Below are 19743 nucleotides of genomic sequence, written 5' to 3' on the forward strand. Positions count from 1 at the left end.
TAGTAGGGATGGGGTTTCATCATGTTGGCCAGATGTCTCGAACTCCTGATCTCAGGTGATCTATCCGCCTCAGCCTCCCAAAGTGCTGGGATTACAGGCGTGAGCTCTCATGCCCAGCCCTCAATAGAACTTTTATGCACCAAAAGACATGTAGAAAAACGTTCATATCAACAATACTCATAACTCCCATAAGCCATAACAATGTCTCTTGATAGTGGAATGGATAATATGGGGTATAATCATCAATGGAATACTACACAGTAATGAAAAAGAAACGAGCTACTGCTATATGCAGCAACTTAGATGATTTTCACAACAAAAATATTAAGCAAAAGAAGCCAGCCACAAAAGAATGTGTACCTTAGGATTTCATTTATATAAAGATGACAACCAAGCACATCTATGATGTTTTTAAGATAATAATTACCTTTGGAGAGGAGAGAGAAGATGAGGGCTTCTGGGATGCTACATTATTCTATTTTTTTAACCTGGTGATTTTCAAGTATAATCACTTGAAAAAAACTTAAGAGACCAATTTCTCTTATAAATGTATAGGCAAAAAAATTTTTTAACTTTCTACTATGAAAAATTTCAAGCAAAAGAACAGTATACTCAAATTCCACATATTCATCATGTGACTTCAAGAATGACGAACTCACATCTAATTTTGTTTTATCTATACCACCATTCAGTCCCTCTCCAGCAATGGATTATGGATTATTCCGAAGCTAATCCAAGATATCTTTTCATTTTTTGATGCAAAAATATTAAATAAAATTTTAGCAAATAAAATCCAGTCTCATATTAAAAGAACAAACCATTATTGACAAGTATGGTTTATTCCCTCAGGAATACATGAAATTGGGAAATAGAGCAACACAAATCAAAGAAAATTTTAAAGAGAAAAAAATAAATGAAAATAATTGTAATGGTCAAAAGCCCTTAGGAAAGAGAAATAAAAACTTGATAAATCACAGTAATTATTTATTCAGACCATACTACGTACCTAGTACTACACTTTGAACATACTTAAAGAACATTTGCTCACTTAATCTTCATAATGATTCCATGAAAAAGAAACTATGACAGCTTTTTTCCACAAATAAGGAAACTGACTCAGAGATTAACGTACCCAAGTCAGAGGCAGAGGCAGGTACTTCTTACTCCACAGTCCATACACTTGCCACCTGGCTAAAATTATTTGCAGATGACAAAAATGCTCAACTAGAAAAAAGACGTCAATTTATAAGTTATATGTAATGACATGAGTACAATGAAGTGACAGAATAAACATATATATTTTTAACTTCTGTTCTTGTCAACTAAGTAAAATTAGGAACAAAAAAGGAAAGGGGGAGGGGTCTTATGCAAAAAAAAAGTCACGATTTACAACAAAAAGTATTAACTATGTAGAAATAAGCATAACCAGAAATGTCCAAGATACGTATGGAAAAACACTACAGATAGTCAAACAAATAAAAATATTGGGTTAATAGAAATCCATCACATGTTCCTGAAAGTGTTGTATCTAGATCTACATCAATTCTACCCAAATTAAAGCAACCACTTGATGAAACTGCAGCAATTTAAAAAACTCTCAAAGAGCATGTAATATGGGAATACGAAGTTGACAAGATGTTATTAAAGACGAATAAAATTATACCAATACCTAGACACCTGATCCCAACATTAAACATGAAATACACTAAACCAGAGTTATTTTCTGGAGGAGTATTTAAAATGATGGGGATGTTATTACTTGGGTCGCAATGAACCTGAAAACCCATTTTCTACAGAATATACAGCAGCAGGGAAGCAAGGGGACCAGCAGACCCCTTTTTAAGTACGCATGTGATAAGCAATGAACACGAACTGCCCAGAGCAGTCTCCAACACTGACACGATTCGCTTCCCCACCACGACGCCCTAGCGCTACTGTGCAACGAAGACCTCCCAAGCACTGGTTCCAATGCGGAGACCATGGGCTCCCAGACTCTGGGAACTCCAACACGACTGCGAAACGAACTCCGAGCGAGGACTCCCCGAGAGCTCCCCGCAACACGGACCTCACGCGCTAGCGAACAACAGAAAAAAAAAAGCGCGCTCTCCCTGCCCCTGAAACATTCCCAGAAGCCCACGCAGACCAGACCGATGACCTGTCTCCACTGCTGGAGGCGAGTCAGGGACCCGAAGTCTCTAAACACTCGCCTCTACCCGCCGCCCCGCGAACCCCACACACTGCAGACGCGACACTCGCAAGTTTCGGGGATGGCGGCCGGCGAGGGCCATACTGCGTCTTTCCGGAGACACGGAATACGGCACCAGCCGTCCCTTTATGATGCAATATGTCTGCGCCCAGGGGACGCTTGCTGGGAGCAGCCATTTTCAACCCTACTGCCGTAGAGCAGGCGGAGTCCCTCTTTTCGCGCCTTAAGACAGGTAGGTTCTGACGATGAAAAGCAATTGAAAACGACCCATTTCACCCTTTTTCCAGTCCACGTGAACTGCTAGATCTTGGCTTTGCAACATTAGCCAGGGGCGCTACATAAACTGCTTAGTTTCTCAAAGGCTCAAGCCTGCCCTGATCTGTCTACAGGATGGGTAGAGATGGTCACAGACATTTAGGCACTTTGATCCTAAGAAGAATGGAAAGAAACCATGTGGCGCGGCAGTCTTACAGGAATTTCAAGAGGGAGGGACCTGAGCAACAATCGGAGGGGTTATTACTCCTGAGGATGCATCTGGCTGGAGAAAGCAGCCTTTGAGAACTGCCTAAGAAGTATCTTTACATCTACATCAGATGTAGCCTCAGAGGAAGGAGTCAGTCATAGAATGGATAAAACAACCGCGTGTTAAAGCTTTGGTTATAATTGGTGTGGAGAATGGAGAACACAGTTGATCAGCAGTTGACAAAGTGGGGAACCAACACGAAAACAGGGCTCTCTCACCCTGGAAAAGCCAAAGGCAGAACAAGCCTTTACATCCAGGAAGGTGGGAGCAACTTGAAATCAAAACTCTGAAGGGGAGATGATTCTGTTCAATACTGAAACTCAGCTGATCAATTAACTGATGAATTCTAGCACCAAACCTGCTCCCTATAATTTTATAACCAGCCTCAGAGAACCTTTAAAGGGATTGATCATTCACTCATTTATCCAGCGAATGTTTATAAAATGCCTAATGTGTCAAACACTGTTGTGCGTGCTGGGAATACAACAGTTGGAAATTCAGGCACAAAGACTCTCATTCATGGAGATTACATTCTACTGGCAATTTCAGTGTGTGAGCTAAATTGAGTGGTGCTAACTGTTGACTTGGCTGGTTGACTGAAACTTGGACTCAAAATTTGCCTACACTAAATGAAGTTTAAATGCCAGAAATTTCCTCATATATTATAAAGTACCCAAAGATAAATGGAGTTTGGAATGCTAGAATGAATTTATCATGTAAAATCAAGATTACCCATACCTCAAATATGTATTCCAGTAGCATCTAGAAGACAATCTCTTCACTGACACTGATCTGGTCACAGGAAATAGAGATATACTACTGTAAGATTATTTTATTATACAGTAAGTGATATAATGTCCTTGAAGTTAGAATGATAAGTTCATGATTTTCTTTCAGTCAGTTCAGGCTACTAGAAAAAATACACCATAGACTGACTGACTGCCTTAACAAACATTCATTTCTCACGTTCCAGAGGCTGAGGAGTCTCTAGAACTGGACTCTAAAACACAATCAAGGTGTTGGCAGGTCTAGTGTCCAGTGAGAGTCCATTTCCTGGTTTATGCATGGTCATCTCATTCTGTCTTCACATGGCAAAGAGCAGAGAAAGAGAAAACAAACTCTCTTCTGTGTTGTCTCATAAGACACATAATCTCATCATGAGGGTTCCACTTTCAAGATGTAATTACCTTCCAAAGGTCACACTTCCTAATGCCATCCCTTAGGGATTAGGACTTCAACATGTAAATTTGGAGAGGACATAAATATGCAATCCCTCACAATGATGTATGCTATAAAATCTCAAGGAATCAAATGACAAGGATTTACAGTTAATAAGCCAACAAAGGAGACAATATGTAATATAAACACACTCAGCTACTCTAAGGGAAAGCAGAAAAAGAAGAAAAGGAGAACAAAGAAGACATAGAATAAACAACAAATAGTAAGTTAGTAATTTAAACCTAAAAACATCAATACATTGAACGTAAATGATCTAAATACCCCAGTAAAAAGACAGAGATTGTTAACTGGATAAAAAAGGAAGGCCCAACTGTATGTTGCCCACTAAACACCCACTTTAAATATGAAAGCATAAATAGGTTAAAAGTAAAACCATGATAAATAAAGATATGAAAGATATAACAGGGAAAAACCCATGTCAAATTATTAGAGGTTAAAAATTACAATTTCTGAGAGAAAACATACTTTGGATGGGATTAATGACAGATTAAACACTGTGGAAAAAAGATTAGTGAACTGAAAGACATAGCTATGAGAACTATAAAAAATGAAATAATGAAGGGTAAAATAATAAAAAGCATGAACATCATTTTCATGTACATATGTGTATACACAAAAAGATTTGTGAACTTGAACAAGGCAAGAGATACAATCTAAACTACAAAGAGAACAAAAGCTAACCCCTACCTTGGCCCCCGGAGTAAGAGATATCATTCTGAGGAACACCAAGTGGAAGCCTCTAAAACTGCCCCCCTCCCCAGCCAAACTCTATGATCAAGATAGTAAATGAAAAACAATATTGTGGGAGGGGTAGTGAGGTTTATAAGATATAAAAAAGTAAAATATATTTCATATCTTGTAAACCCTACTATACATATTAGTGCAGGGAGCCAAAGGCCCATGGGACATGACAAACTCAGCATTCCGCTGGAGGCTATATGATCAAACAGCAAACTGTTTATCATGAATGCAGGATGTGGGCAAACTCACACTGCCCTGCCACCATTGCCACAGTTACCATATTAACAGGGCTTTTCCCCTGCACATGTTCACTAGGACTTAAGCTGTGACTTGCTGTGGAAGGATTTTCCACCTTCACTGAATCCCCCCGTTTCTCCCTTGAGTGTATTCTCTTATGTTTAACAAGGCAAGACATATAGAAGTAAGCTTTCTCACACTCATCACAGCCATAGGGTCTCTCTCCCGTGTGAGTTCTGTGATGTACAATGAGCATTGTCTTTGTAAGGAAGGCTTTCCCACAGTCACTGCATTTATAGGGTTTCTCTCCTGAGTGAATTTTCTGATGTCTAATGAGTCCTGACTTCTGTGAACAGGGTTGCCCACATTCAGGACATACAAAGGGAGTCTTTCCTGTATGATATCTCTGATGTGCTACAAGGCAAGACTTCTGGCTGAAGGCCTTGCCACAGTCAATGCATCCATAAGGTTTCTCTCCAGTGTGAGTTCGTTGATGTATGTTGAGATTGCCCTTCTGAATGAAGCCTTTTCCACATTCACTGCATGTATGAGGCTTCTCTCCTGTATGAGTTCGCTGATGTACAACGAGTAGTGATTTTCTGGAGAAAGCTCTCCCACATTCGCTGCATTGATGGGGCTTAATTCCCGTGTGAATCCTTTGATGTTCAGTAAGCTCAGATTTCCTGGGGAAGGCTTTCCCACATTCACTGCACCCGTATGGTTTCTCTCCTTTGTGAGCTCTCTCGTGTTCAGTGAGCCTGTACCTCTTGTAGAAGGCTTTCCCACACAAGCTACACCCGTGGGGTTTCTCTCCTCTGTGAGCTCTCTCGTGTTCAGTGAGCCTGTACTTCTTGTAGAAGGCTTTCCCACACAAGCTACACACGTGGGGTTTCTTTCCTGTATGAATTCTCTTATGCTCAGTGAGCTGAGACTTCTTGAGGAAAGCTTTCCCACAGTCAGTGCATTCATGGGCTTTCTCTATGTTGTGTGTTTGCTGATGTTTAAGGAATTGTGACTTGGTGCTGATGGGTTTTCTACTTTCAGGGAATTCAATTTCCGTAGGCATTTGTTCATGATTATCATGGAGAAAAGCTCCATCTCCATTAAACTCAGCAGGCTCCTTTCTGTTGTATCTTCTGCTCTGGTTGGTTAAACCTAAATATGATTTCAAAGTTCTTCCGTGTTCATAGCGTTGTCCCGTCCTCTTCAGTATTTTTTGGTTTTGCAAGGGCTGCTGCAGATGATCATCAGCTTTCTCAATTTCTAAGAGAGAGAACAATAAATCCTTCCATGATCATCACACGGAATAAAACTGCTTCAAAGATGCCTTGGGGTTGGCTGGCTTTTTACTGGAACCCCTATAATACCAACATGGAAGGAATTCCAAGTATAAGTGTTCCCTATCTGTTAAAAAAACTTTTAAGAATTGTAGTTAAATACATATAAGATAAAATTTGCCAGCTGGGTGCGGTGGCTTATGCCTGTAATCCCAGCACTTTGAGAGGCCAAGGCGGGTGGATCACAAGGTCAAGAGATCAAGACCATCCTGGCCAACATGGTGAAACCCCATCTCTACTAAAAATACAAAAAAATTGGCTGGGCGTGGTGGCACGTGCCTGTAGTCCCAGCTACTCAGGAGGTTGAGGCAGGAAAATCGCTTGAACCTGGGAGACAGAGGTTGTAGCAAGCCAAGATCGCTCCACTGCACTCCAGTCTGCCAACAGAGCAAGACTCCATCTCAAAAAAAAAAAAAAAATTTGCCAGCCAGGCACAGTGGCTCATGCCTGTAATCCCAGCACTTTGGGAGGGTGAGGTGGGAAGATCACTTGAGCCCAGGAGTTTGAGACCAGCCTGGGCTACAATAGGGAGACTGTCTCTACAAAAACTTTTTTTTTAATTTAAAAAAGAATAATCCTGAGTAGGGAAACAGCAGACATAGGTAGTAGAATAAATATCCCAGAAAGGCAAGTTAGAATGTTGGATACACAGCCTTTGACTTCATCCTAATCCTATTAGACTGTTGGGTGCTAAAATATGCCCTTCTCCATTCTGTAGACCATCATCACGCTAACTTTCCTAGAGCACCAATCTCATATTTCCAGGAAAACTGCAGTCAATACTCTAACCTTTGTTAAAACAGAGATCACAAGACTGATGGAACAGACTCTTTGTAGCAATAAGATACCAAACTATAAACTAGGTCTAAGGACATACAGGTAAGGGTTAAGTCACACACCCCCTACATTTAAAGAATAAACTATGTTCTAACTGCCACGAGTGTTTTTTGTTTTGTTTTGTTTTGTTTCTTTTTCTGTAGCAGCTAAACAAACACTGGCCTTGGGACAAGCAATATTGAAACAATTGCAGCTCCCGGACCACCAGATGCTGACTAACTGATGCCCCTCACCCCCAACAGCATTCCACAGGCCATAACTGCAGCTATGATTGGACAGGAGACTGATCTCAATATCCTTCTCCTGATAAACACCAGCTGTTTTGGTCAGCTGCCGGAGTCTGTGCAGACTTTTCTTATATCCTGTAAAAGACCTGCTAGCATACAGTCAAATTCCACCTCATTTTAATGTTAAAACTCCACTCCAAAATGAAAGTGGATTATATGTTACATATATGTTTGCTCACTATGCACATGTTTGCTGATTCTCATAAAGATATTCATAAGACTCCCCATCTCTCACTGAATAGGTATGCAAAGCAAATCCTAGAAGGCAAAAAGCCTCCTGCAAGGCAAAAAAAAAAAAGTTTCCCCTCTTCAGTGATGTGTGTTTTTTCCACTTCCTCAAAGTCACACCACTCAGATCTGCGAATCATCTTTTGTTAGAATATAAAGTTTCTCTTTGCCTCCTCAATTTTTTGGTTAACACCTTGTATCTACCTGGCTATGATATATTCTCATATGTTCCAACAGAAAGAGAAACAGGGTGATCCCTATGGACTTTCAGAACATGCAAGCAGAACACGTGGTCCTCTCCACACAGCTCTGCCACTGCACCAAATATGGAAACTGTCACCTTCTTCATCATGCCCTACTTGCACAGATGTCATATTGGATTTTTTTTCCACTTTGCTGTCCCTAATATACTAATTCCTCACCTTGCCACTAACAGCCTCTACTCTCTGAATTTTGTACTTATGTCTCTGTTGGCATCGGTGAATGGAGCCCTCAAGGACCACCTCCCTACTTCTGAATCAAGACTTGAGGCAGCTTTACTTTTAGTTTTTCTTAGAACATCAGCTATACAGTATGATTGCTATAGTACTGCCACCAGGTGAAAGGTAAGCTCTACCTAGAGCTAGAAAAATACAAAACTTTACCTCCACCACTACCCTGAATTACTGGCACAGAAAATTCACAGCAGGAGCTGAACAATAAAAGTTTTACCATTACCATGACGCATCCACTTTAAGTTCCCACTTCACCATTTCCCAGCAAATATCTTCTAACTGTGGCCTCCATGTGACCAGTTTCAAGCTAATCTTTTTTTTTTCTTTTTTTTTGAGATGGAGTCTTGCTCTGTCACCCAGGCTGGAGTACAGTGGCACGATCTTGGCTCACTTCAACCTCCGCCTCCCAGGTTCAAGCAATTCTCCTGCCTCAGTCTCCCGAGCAGCTGGGATGACAGGCACGTGCCACCACGCCTGGCTAATTTTTTGTATTTTATGTAGAGACAGGGTTTCACCACATTGGCCAGACTGGTCTCAAACTCCTGACCTCAGGTGATCTGCCCAACTCGGCCTCCCAAAGTGCTGGGATTACAGGCATGAGCCACCGCACCCGGCCTTCAGGCTAATCTTCTGACAGTCCCCACATGGCCTTGCATTTCCAGTTCTACAACTTCTTGTCATATGTCTTCATCTTAATTCAATACCTAGCTATGTCTCTTGCATAAGATATTTTATCAGTCTGTCTTTCTCCATCTTGTCTAGACCACTGTAGGTTACATTTCTTCTAAAGTCCTACAATTCTTTCTGTATTTACTATTCACTTTAACTTTGTATAGCCCTGAATTGTAACAAAAACATTTCACACGTTCAAAAGTTTAATTTGTAAATATTACATAAAAATTTGCCCTATTTTTGCTAACAAAATCTTTGCTCAAGAAAGACATTTCTGTTTCTCACTAAATTCAGTCTCTTCTACTGTGTATTATGGCTACAGTTCATCAACTCATAAAAACAGCCCCCGAGAGAGCTTCATGTAAAGACACGCCCAGGCCCCCAACTCAATTCTAACAAAACCAGACTCACAGAGCAAGAGGCCTTGGTATGGACAGTGTCATGAAAACTCCTTTAATAAAGATCTAGCCTTTAAGAAATGCTTAATAGATGGAAAAGTATGACCTCTCTTCAGCCTGGCTAATCTGTCCTTCGATGAAGAAATGCATGAATGACCAAGATGTATTTCAATCTTACATGAAGAAGAATGAAAACCAGGCCCTTGACTCCAGAGTAGCAAAGGAACCTCAAGCACCACCAAATCACACTGATGTGGTATCTATGGGAGTGGCTTGTGTGTGATTGGGATGCAAAGTAGAATGGGAATTTAGACATGGAAGATATTATTATATTGTAGTGTATTAAAAACCATTTCATGAAAAGAAAATTCAAGGTGAAAAATACATAGTGTCAGAATGTGAAAAACAAACCATAATCACATACCGATGCCTCAGTTTTTTTGTTTTTTTGTTTTTCGTTTCTTTTTGTTTTTTGAAACAGAGTCTCACTCTGTCACCCAGGCTGGAGTGAAATGGCGCGATCTCAGCTCACTGCAACCTCTGCCTCCTGGGTTCAAGTAATTCTCCTGCCTCAGCCTCCTGAGTAGCTGGGACTACAGGCACATGTCACCACGCCCGGCTAATTTTTGTATTTTTAGTAGAGATGGGGTTTCACCATGTTGGCAAAGCTGGTCTCAAACTCCTGACTTTGTGATCCGCCCGCCTCAGCCTCCCAAAGTGCTGGGATTACAGGTGTGAGCCACCATGCCCGGCCTCCTATGCCTCAGTTCTTATCTCACTTGATGAATCAGTAACTCTAGACAATGCTTATGGCACTCTTTCTCCCTCTCTCTCTTATATAAATGTATATATACATATAAATATATAAAGTATATATATAAATGTATATACACACATACACACACACATACACATATATACACACACGCATATACATATAAATGCTGTTCTAGCAAATTAATCAAACTTGAGGAGAGGGTCTTGGGAACCCCTACTTTACAGCTGGTTGGTCAGAAGCTGAGGTGACAACCTGGGACTTGCCACTGGCATCTGAAGTGGGACACAGTCTTGGACTGAGCCCTTAACCGGTGGGATCTGATGCCGTATCAGGTAGATAGGGTCAGAGCTGATTTGAAACAGACGATACCCAGCTGATGTCTGCTGGAGAATTGCCTGGGCTGTGAGAAAACAACCCCTATATATCCAGTGGCATAAATGCTGTGTTGAGTGACTATGTGACAGAGAAAAAAACAGTTTGTCGTTTTTGCCTCAGAAACACAAAATGATCCTCTGACAAGTGATGAAGAAGAATGGGAAGATGTGAAAATCCAAGCAAGAAGAACTTAGGGGAAGCAACTCAACATCTAAGAAGAAATGAATAGGGATCAGTTCCAAGAAGAGATAAAGGGGTATGTATGCTTCTCTGAATTCCTATAAGAAAAAGAGCTCTTGTATCCTAGGGGAGAAGAAGATGTGGCAGCTGTTTCTGTCTCCCTAGACACTTTCACAACTGTCATGCCTTCTCTAAATGACCAGAATGTGACTTCCGCTGCCTTCCCCTCTTGCTGGTTCTCTCTCACTTACCTGGGTGGGCTGGACTGTGGATTTCATCTTCTAGTGTCCATAGTGGTTCTCCTTGTTCCAACTTGGTGAGGGCATCAGGTTTGCCGGCTTGATACCCTGTTTGTGGGAAATGGGAGAAGACTTAGGCTCACTGAATTGCACCACGTGGCTCTGATGATAGGAGAAAGGTACATGTTAGGGACTGCATAATTTGCATGTTAGCAAATTAAAGGCTTTTTTTCTAAGACGAAGGAAGATTATGCCTCTTCCTGTGGGACCAGAGACGGGCCTGAGGATCTGCCATTTGGGAGCACAGCAGACATACCAAAGCTTCCAGAAGCTGAGAAAGCAAAGGCCACTGACTGGGTACCCTCTGAGTGACACAGGGCAGCTGTCCTCACCCACTGACACAAGGTTGCTGTAGTTCTCCAACATCACATCCCGGTACAGGTCCTTCTGAGCAGGGCTCAGGAACTGCCACTCCTCCCAGGTGAAGTCCACAGCCACATCCTCCAGGGTCAGTGATTCCTGTAATAACACAGTCCTGCTTAATATGTTTCTCTTTTATTGACATGGAAGAAATATGAAGTTGTTCGGCCCATTTTCACCACATAAGCTGCACCTGCACAGTTGTCCCTTGGTATACTCAATGGAATGGTTTCAGGATGCCCCACATATACCGAAATTGTGCATACTCATGACCTACAGTTGGCCTAGTGGAATCTGCTTATGTTACTCTGTATAAGCGAGTTTCACATCCTGAGAATACTATATTTTTGATTCAAGTTTGGATATAAGTGGACCCTTGCAGTACAAATTCATGTTCACAAATAAACTGTATTCCTAGTTTTTTAAATATACTGTGAAAGAAGCAAAGTCATAGTAAAATATTCTATATTTTATAATAACCATGCAGCCATCCATTAATCCAACAAATCATAAGTTTCTGTAATATGCAGCCATTAAATCCTCTTGCTAACATGAGAATGTCTGCAGTGTTTTTCAGCACCTACTTGCAACCCTAAACTATATGCTACAGTCATATAGTACGTGCAGAATAATCTAGCATGACCCCCTTCATGTAAACTATACCATGATATTTAGCAAAACAACAAATAAACTATGCAGTGGCCATAAAAAATAAGCCATCATACATGTAAGCATTGACATGCATAGATACATGTATATGTATACAACGCATGTATACACACACATACACACGCATGCAGACATAGATGTCCTCACAGGTAAATCCCTAGAACAGGAAGACAAGCATTTGTTAGTGACATACTAGGGAATTAGGAAAAAAAGTATACAGAGGGGGAACTTTGTTTTCACACTATGTGTACTATTTAACTTGAGTCTTTCACATTGAAAATCTATCCATGAGGCCGGGCATGATGTCTCACGCCTGTAAACCCAGCACTTTGGGAGGCAAAGGTGGGCGGATCACCCGAGGTCAGGAGTTTGAGACCAGCCTGGCTAACATGGCTAAACATGGTCTCTACTAAAAATACAAAAATTAGGTGGGCATGGTGGCACCTAGATGAAGCATGAGAATCGCTTGAACCCAGGATGCAGAGGTTGCAGTGAGCGAAGATCACGCCACTGCACTCCAGCCTGGGCAACAAAGTAAGACTGTCTCAAAAAAAAAAAAAAAAAAAACTATGAATCTGTGGTTCTTTCTGACACCAAATACACAGTGTCTTTTCCAGCAACACTTTCTCTGATGCCAACTGGGTATCCTAGAGTTCGATGCTATGCTAACACTAACCGCTGAGGGTTATCATCAGACTCTGCAGGTTTCAGGGCTCGGTCCCACAAGACTGCCCTCACATCATGTGCCACTCTGGGGTCCCCACGTTATCACACTTCTGTCCAACTTGACCACAACTGGAGGTTGCCACAACCTCCCTGCTCAGGTTCGATAATTTGCTAGAATGACTCACAGAACTCAGGAAAATGTCACACAATTACAGTTTATTATATAGGATACAAATGACAGCCAGGTAAAGAGGTACAGAAGTCAAGGTCCAAAGGGTGCCAAGCACAGGAGCCTCTGATCCCATGGAATTGCAGTGCCCCCTTCCCCCACCCCCCACTTCCACATGTGATCTCCAAACCCCATGGGGGTTTTTATGGAGCTTCTACGACGTGGGCATGATTAAATCATCAACCATGGCTGGGTGCGGTGGCTCACACCTGTAATCCCAACACTTTGGGAGGCCGAGGTGGGCAGATCATGAGGTCAAGAGATCGAGACCATCCTGGCCAAGATATTGAAACCCTGTCTCTACTAAAAAAAAAAAAAAATTAGCTGGGTGTGGTGGTTTGTACCTGTGGTTCCAGCTACTCAGGAGGCTGAGGCAGGAGAATTGCTTGAACCCAGAAGGTGGAGGATGCAGTGAGCCGAGGTTGCACCACTGCACTCCAGCCTGGCAACAGAGCAAGACTCCATCTCATTAAAAAATAAAAAATAAAAAAAAGAAATCATCAACCATTGGTCACAGAATCTGGAGGTCGGGGGTGGGACTGAAAGTCCCAACTCTGTAATCAAGGCTTGGTCTTTCTGGCAACCAGCCCCATCCTGAGGTTGTCTAGGAGCCCATTCTGAGCCACCTCATTACCATAAACTCAGGTGTGGTTGAAAGGCACTGGTTATGAAGAACAAAATACACTCCTATCACTCAGGAAATTCCAAAGGTTTTAGGAGCTCTGTGCCAAGAACCAGAGACAGAGACCAAATATATATACGTGTAAAACCATAATGAGTCATTTGCATAATTTTTTAAGTTAAGGCATTAAAAGAGGTGAGAGGTTAATAACTGGATTTGAACACAGGGAAGGGCTCTGTATTTTCTGAGACAACATGACATTCTAAAGCAAACCCTGTGGATCTCAACAACCCAAGCCATTGCCAAAGAGAACTTTCAACTCCCTTTGGTCAAATCTGTACTTAAACACCAGTTTAGTGACCTGTTCATGGAGCTCCTTTGAAAGCAAACCTTGCATTTTTTAGGCAATTAGGTTTACTCACAGATAAACACAGACTGCAACAAGGTTGGGTATATAGGCCGCAGTGCTGTGAGCTCTGGAAAAACTGTGTTCATTAAACCCTTCTTGGTATAGTCCCATAGAGGACTCAGAATAATCATGTAGAAACAGTCACACAAAACTTGCTTGTGTATCTTTTGGAAAAATGCTGTTAAGGACAAAAAGTCTATCTTGTCACCTCTAGCAAAAAGCATCAAACTAATTTCCCAAGATTTAAGTGCCATGAAATACTGACATCCCCTGAGGAACGGACCCGCTTTCTCCTCAGAATCAGTGCACATCATGTAACTTACCATGATTCTCTGGGTGTGATGGTGGCCAAAGATTTTGGACACAAGCTGACACTTAATGTAGCCAACAGGGTCTGGCAGAGTCGCACATTATATTCCAACACTGGTCACATGTGAACTATGTGAACAAAGTATTTGTGATCCCACTTTGTCCTGGATTAAAGGTACAGTCTAAGTCTGTTTCTCCCCAGAGCTCATTTTTTCCAATTTATACTTTTAATGTAAATGAACTGATTTCTTCAGACTTCCACAAATCCATCAGGGAATCGAGTTAAGAATAAAACAAACCAAAAGTTACCTGGGCCTTTGTCATTTTCTTCTGTTTCAGGAAATACCCAAGAACTGGGATGCTTCGTCTTTGGTTTCTTCTGGATCCTCCCTAAATTTTGGCTAAGAAATCTGAGTCTCCATTTAAGAGTGTTCCCAGAAATGATGACATCCACATCCAGGAACCTCCTCCTTCCTTCATTTGAACTCTCTTGCTTCTGGGGAGCCAGGACCTATGGAGTAAAAATCAAGTTCATTTGGTGACACATTCCCTCCGGGCCCAGATGCTGTCTCTGCTGCTGTAAACTCTCCTGCAGTCAAGGCCAAGCAATATATCTAAGCATCCCTTTGTCAGGTGTCCCCAAGTCTTTACATCCCAGGGCAATAAAACAACACTCTGAATGTGGGGAGTCATATGGCAGTGGGCTTAACCAGGAGCCGGCATATCTGGCCACTTTCCAATGCTTCAAAGGAGTGTCTTTCTCCTTAAGCACAGTGTTTATAAATAAGAGAGCAGGTCACGCTCTGGTCATGAGAACGTGATGGTAATAAGGAGGCTTTCCTCCTCAGAGGCCTCCTGTGATTTTCCAAAACTTATTGTCCCATATTTTTATGGCCAGTTTATGCCAGCACCCCATAAGCCTTTTTCCCAACAATCGTGAGACACACAGAGAAGAAACACACAGGTAAAAGAGAAGGCCATGTGAAGATGGAGGCAGAGACTGGAGTGATGCTGCCACAAGCCAAGGACACCTGAGAGTCTGTTAGAAAAGGGGAGACAGGTGAATGAATGTGGGCAGCTGTGCCGGAGCCCCTCAAGACCACTCCCAGATGCAGTGATTCACTAGGTGAACTCACAACACTCAGTCTATAATTATATTCATGGCAACCACTTATTACTGTGAAAACATACACAGCAAAACCAGCAAAGGTAAAAGGTACATGTGGCAAAGTCTGGAGGAAACCAGACATAAGTTTCAAGTTCAGTCTCTTTGGAGTCACACAGGATACACTTAATTCCCCGAGCCACAAGTCATGACAACACACGTGAAATGCTATAGACCAAGGAAGTTTATTAGAGAGAGATTGTGTGCCATGGTTTTTATTGGGGGCTGATCGTGAAGGTGCTCACTGCCTAACATTCACCAAAACTCCAGAATCCTAGAGGAAAGCATGTGTTCAGGATAAATCACATTGTTTGAAAAAAACAGCTTAGGCACAGTGAGCCACTCTTATTAGGAAATAGTGGGACTGCCTCCAAAAATCTAAGCTCCCAAATGCCAGCTGCTATGGTTTGAATGTTTGTGTCCTCCAAAATTCATGTTGAAACTTAATCTCCAATGCAATGGTATCAAGAGGTGGGCTTTTAGTAAGTGATTAGGTCATGAGGGCTCCTCCCTTGTGAGTGGCATTAAGGCCCTTATAAAAGAGGCTTTGGCCAGGCACAGTGGCTCATGCATGTAATCCCAGCACTTTGGGAGGCTGAGGTGGGAGGATCGCTTGAGGCCAGGAGTTTGAGGCTGCAGTGAGTTGTGATTGCACCACTGCACTCTAGCCTGGGCAACAGAGCAAGACCCTGTCTCTTAAAAATAAAAAAATAAAAAAAAATAAAGGCCGAGCGTGTTGGCTCACACCTGTAATCCCAGTACTTTGGGAGGCCAAGGTGGGCAGATCACTTGAGCTCAGGACTTGGCAACATGGTGAAACCCCATCTCTATAAAACATACAAAAATTATTCAAGCATGGTGGCACATGCCTGTATTCCCAGCTACTCAGATGGCTGCGGCAGGAGGACTGCTTGAGCCTGGGAGGTTGAGAGGTTGAGACTGCAGTGAGTTAGGATGGTGCCACTGCACTGCAGGCTGGGTGACAAAGTGAGACTCTGTATCAAAAAAAAAAAAAAAAAAAAACCTAAAGAAAGAAGAAATAATAATAAAAATAAAAGAGGCTTCACACACAGATCGGCCCTTTCTGCTCTTCTGCCTTCTGCCATGTGAGGGCACCGCATTCTTCACCTCCAAAGAAATAGCGACAAAACACCATATTGAAAGCAGAAATCAGGCCCTCACCAGACACCAAACCTGCTGGTGCTTCGATCTTAGACTTCTCAGTCTCCAGAACTATAACAAATAAATTTCTGTTGTTTATAAATTATCCAGTCTCAGCTATCTTGTTATAGCAGCACCAACAAGGCTAAGACAGCATCCTATAATTTAATTCAGTCTGAGACTGTGTATCTAGATATAGTGTCAGACACCACAGATTAAGGGCTCAGTTCAAGCCTGCCCCCAACTTCAGACGCAAGTTGCAAGCAGCAGGTTGTCACCTGTACCTCTGATGGACCAGCTATAAATCAGGATTCACACGGCCTCCTCCTCAGGTTCGATTAATTTGCTGGATGGCTCACAGAACTCAGGAAAGCACTTAACATTTACTGGTTTATTTCAACTCTTTTCCTGTCTAGAAAAACGAAGTGCAGCTCACTGCCAGCGCTTATTTCATTTTACATAAACATGCTCTTTGAGGCTGCAGTAAATCTGATTTTCAATGTGAAAATAAAATATAAAAGCTGTTCTAGGAGTTATTTCTAAACAGAACTAACATCAGAATCATCTGAATCATCAGAATTCTCGATTTGGAATCATCAGAATTCTCGATTTGGTAAAAATCGGATCCATCCAGTGAGTCTTCAGCCAAGAACTGTTTGAGAATGATGTTAACATCACATGTAGGAATGCTACGTTTTCTAGGATTTGACATTTTCAGTGATCGAGAACTACTACATTTTGTAAATGGAAATACCACTACTAAAAACAGAATGCTATAAGTAGAATGATGTCTTTTGTTTCCCAAGGCGACCTACTAGAGCGATGTGAAAATAATAAAAGTGAGATCGTTCATGGCAAAGTTATCTCGGGGTAAATGCTCCAGCTGCAAGCACCAAAGGTGAGTATTCTCAGGGCAAATGGGAAAAGGAATAAAGGATATTACGAAGGATACAGATGAAGAGGCAGATGGAAGGGATAGCACAGAGCAAGGTTTGTAGCAAGGGGCGTGGGACTTCCATGCCCTCCACGGAAGCTTATTAGAGACTCAGTTCACCACCCTCAGGCACCTCCACATGCTCAAGAATCTGTAAGTTCCCCAGAAGTTCACCAGTCCTTTTGAGTTTTTACGCTGGTTTCATTATGTGGGCATACTTGATTAAAACACTAACCACTGGTGATCAACTCAACCTTCAACTTCCCTGTTGCCAGGCAGAGCTAAAATTTCCAACCCTCAAATGACATGGTTAGTTGCCCTGGCAACCAGCCTCCCCCGTCCTAAGGCCAGCCAGAAGCCCCCAGTCACCAGCCATCTCAATGCCACACAAAAAGGCACTGTTTACTGAAGAGGTTCCAAGGCTTTTGGGAGACATGTGCCAGGAAACAGGACAAAGATCGATTATACATTTCTTATAAATCGTAACAATCATAGCTAGGCGCGATGGCTCATGCCTATAATCCCAGCACTTTGGAAGGCCGAGGCGGGCAGATCACCTGAGGTCAGGAGTTCAAGACCAGCCTGGCCAACGTGGTGAAAGCCTGTCTCTACTAAAAATACAAAAATTAGCCGGGCGTGGTGGCGGGCGCCTGTAATCCCAGCCACTCGGGAGGCTGAGGCAGGACAGTCGCTAGAACCCAGGAGGCGGAGGTTGCAGTGAGCTGAGATCGCACCACTGCACTCCAGACTGGACAACAGAGCTAGATTCCGTCTGGGGGATAGGAGGAAACTTTGATCCCCAAATGCTCAAGGAGACTGATGCTTAAGCAAACTAAATATTGCCTGAGAACGACTCCATACTTCTATATTTGAGTCCTTGTGGATAAACTGCAACCTAGCTTAACAGACAAAATTGAAAACCGAACTTAATCGTATGCACCTGTAACAATAGCTGAGTGGTGGCCAGTCCCAGCGGCCATACTCATAGACTGCTGAATGTTCCAACTGCGTTCAAATAAGGCAAACGCCGAATGGTAACCAATCTCACTGTTTCTGGACCTCGCTTCCGATTCCTGTATGTCACTTTACCTTTTTTGTCTATAAATTTGTTCTGACCACGAGGCACCCCTGGAGTCTCTGTTAATCTGCTGTGATTCTGGGGGCTGCCCAATTCGCGAATCGTTCATTGCTCAAGGAAACTCCTGTAAATTTAATTCGGCTTCAATTTTTCTTTTATCACTGATTTGAGTAATAATAAAACTCCGGTCTCCCCGCACAGCCGGCTCTGCATGAATTGCTCTTTCTCCATTGCAATTTCCCTGTCTTAACAAGTCGGCTCTGTCTAGGCAGCCGGCAAGGGTGGGCGGTTATAGTTTCACAACTCAACCCCAGCCAGGGGCCTGGGCTTGTAAAATACCAGATTTTACAAGCCTCTGAGCCCCACATGCCTGGGCCTCCCCGAAACACTTAACACACATCCCCGATTCACCCCAAAACCTACACCACACACCCTCGTACGCTGCCCAGCACCCCGGCTTCATCACCGACTTTAAACTGCAGCATTTGGAGTGATAATAATGGCGTCGGTGATAAAGCCGGCGTGCTGGGCAGCGTCCCCCTAGAGTTCTCCATCCAGTGATCCAGAGGCCTACTAACAGAGTGACCCTCAGAGACCCCAAACTCTGACGCCGAGTCTCAGTCGCTGAACTCGACAGACCTTTAACGCCCGACCACAAGAACTCTCCCACGCCGGACCGCAAAGGCACCCCAACCCAAAGGCTCCACCGCCCAGGCCGCCAGCTCTCCCCACAGGCTCCTCAGAAGCTCCCTACCCCTTTAACCTACTCCACGGAGAGACCCAAACACTCACCTGATTTTCTTCTGGCTACACCTAAATTCCCTGAATGCTTCCTTTCCTGGCCCTTAAACCCCGGCACTGGCCTATGGCGGCGGACGAGGGCGCGAGTCAATTCTGCCGCGCTAGGACGATGGGACATGGGCTTCTCTTCGAGGAGGTAACATGTCCGCGCCCTGAGCCACGGCTCTCTGGGCGCGGCCATCTTGGTAGATCTGCCGTACAGAAGGGAAACAGTTGTTCTTGTGTCATTAAACCGGGATGACTCTCCTGAAAGCAAAAATTTGAGGCGCAGGAGCATTTTCTAGAGTTTATCTGAACAAACAGCAATTCATGAATTAGGAAGCATCAAACCAAAAGAAGTCTCGCGCTTCTATGCTTAAAGCATTAGACACAAGTATTCACAGGGTGAGTGAAGGAGTAAAACAAAGAAATTATTTGATTAGTTACAATTATAAAAATGCATTTTTTTAAATTTGCCTTGGAAAGTCCCTAATGACATAATAGCATGTGAGTTGCCTACTTTTGATCGG

The 19743-nt window shown here is 42.8% G+C and overlaps 2 protein-coding genes and 1 long non-coding RNA gene across 15 annotated transcripts in view, besides 5 other annotated features; 1 reads left to right on the plus strand and 2 right to left on the minus strand.

Moving 5' to 3' along the window:
- ZNF577 (zinc finger protein 577) overlaps positions 1-2263 on the minus strand; it is an 83510-nt gene extending 81247 nt beyond the window's left edge. For 5 of the 11 annotated variants that reach the window (NR_163433.1, NM_001370456.1, NM_001370455.1 and 2 more), the window contains exon 1: positions 1133-2263. The gene's annotated coding sequence lies outside the window, so the exon portion shown is untranslated. The remainder of the gene's footprint in view (positions 1-1132) is intronic. The other 6 variants (NM_001370452.1, NM_001135590.2, NM_001370448.1 and 3 more) reach the window with 3 other exon arrangements.
- Positions 1536-2387: an enhancer, noted in NCBI's record as "NANOG-H3K27ac hESC enhancer chr19:52390477-52391328 (GRCh37/hg19 assembly coordinates)". NCBI's record gives its function as "activates a minimal SCP1, AML or CMV promoter by ChIP-STARR-seq in primed H9 embryonic stem cells {active_cell/tissue: H9 hESC(primed)}" and the evidence as "EXISTENCE:reporter gene assay evidence [ECO:0000049][PMID:30033119]".
- Positions 2337-14776, plus strand: ZNF649-AS1 (ZNF649 antisense RNA 1). Its single transcript, NR_110733.1, has 3 exons — positions 2337-2438; positions 10473-10608; positions 14435-14776. It is a non-coding gene; the product is annotated as a ZNF649 antisense RNA 1 (long non-coding RNA).
- Positions 3547-19329, minus strand: ZNF649 (zinc finger protein 649). Of its 3 annotated transcripts, none has more exons than NM_023074.4 (5): positions 19226-19329; positions 14405-14606; positions 11164-11290; positions 10784-10879; positions 3547-6209 (listed from the first exon to the last, which is right to left on the minus strand). In NM_023074.4, exons 2-5 carry the CDS (start codon positions 14417-14419, stop codon positions 4930-4932), a joined length of 1518 nt encoding a protein of 505 aa, NP_075562.2. In that variant the 5' UTR covers positions 14420-14606; positions 19226-19329; the 3' UTR covers positions 3547-4929. The 3 variants fall into 3 exon arrangements, with proteins under 3 accessions (NP_075562.2, XP_047295194.1, XP_047295195.1); XM_047439238.1 differs by having other exon boundaries at positions 14110-14606; XM_047439239.1 differs by lacking the exons at positions 14405-14606; positions 19226-19329 and having other exon boundaries at positions 11172-11264.
- Positions 15865-16111: a silencer, noted in NCBI's record as "fragment chr19:52404806-52405052 (GRCh37/hg19 assembly coordinates)". NCBI's record gives its function as "represses an EF-1alpha promoter that drives an FKBP-Casp9 reporter gene in an ReSE screen in K562 erythroleukemia cells {active_cell/tissue: K562}" and the evidence as "EXISTENCE:reporter gene assay evidence [ECO:0000049][PMID:32094911]".
- Positions 17462-18007: an enhancer, noted in NCBI's record as "H3K4me1 hESC enhancer chr19:52406403-52406948 (GRCh37/hg19 assembly coordinates)". NCBI's record gives its function as "activates a minimal SCP1, AML or CMV promoter by ChIP-STARR-seq in primed H9 embryonic stem cells {active_cell/tissue: H9 hESC(primed)}" and the evidence as "EXISTENCE:reporter gene assay evidence [ECO:0000049][PMID:30033119]".
- Positions 19098-19642: an enhancer, noted in NCBI's record as "NANOG-H3K27ac-H3K4me1 hESC enhancer chr19:52408039-52408583 (GRCh37/hg19 assembly coordinates)". NCBI's record gives its function as "activates a minimal SCP1, AML or CMV promoter by ChIP-STARR-seq in naive and primed H9 embryonic stem cells {active_cell/tissue: H9 hESC(naive and primed)}" and the evidence as "EXISTENCE:reporter gene assay evidence [ECO:0000049][PMID:30033119]".
- Positions 19361-19480: an enhancer, noted in NCBI's record as "active region_15029". NCBI's record gives its function as "activates an Ori minimal core promoter by ATAC-STARR-seq in GM12878 lymphoblastoid cells {active_cell/tissue: GM12878}" and the evidence as "EXISTENCE:reporter gene assay evidence [ECO:0000049][PMID:35858748]".

The sequence above is a fragment of the Homo sapiens genome, chromosome 19, assembly GCF_000001405.40.
Source record: "Homo sapiens chromosome 19, GRCh38.p14 Primary Assembly".
Taxonomy (NCBI): Eukaryota; Metazoa; Chordata; class Mammalia; order Primates; family Hominidae; genus Homo; species Homo sapiens.

Excerpts from the sequence above, each read along its gene's own strand:
- ZNF649 (NM_023074.4), bottom strand. Across the intron at positions 10,880-11,163 it reads CAGCAACCTTGTGTCAGTGG|GGTATCAAGCCGGCAAACCT; the intron begins GTGAGGACAGCT and ends TCCCACAAACAG. Across the intron at positions 6,210-10,783 it reads CCACAGTCCAGCCCACCCAG|AAATTGAGAAAGCTGATGAT; the intron begins GTAAGTGAGAGA and ends TCTCTCTCTTAG.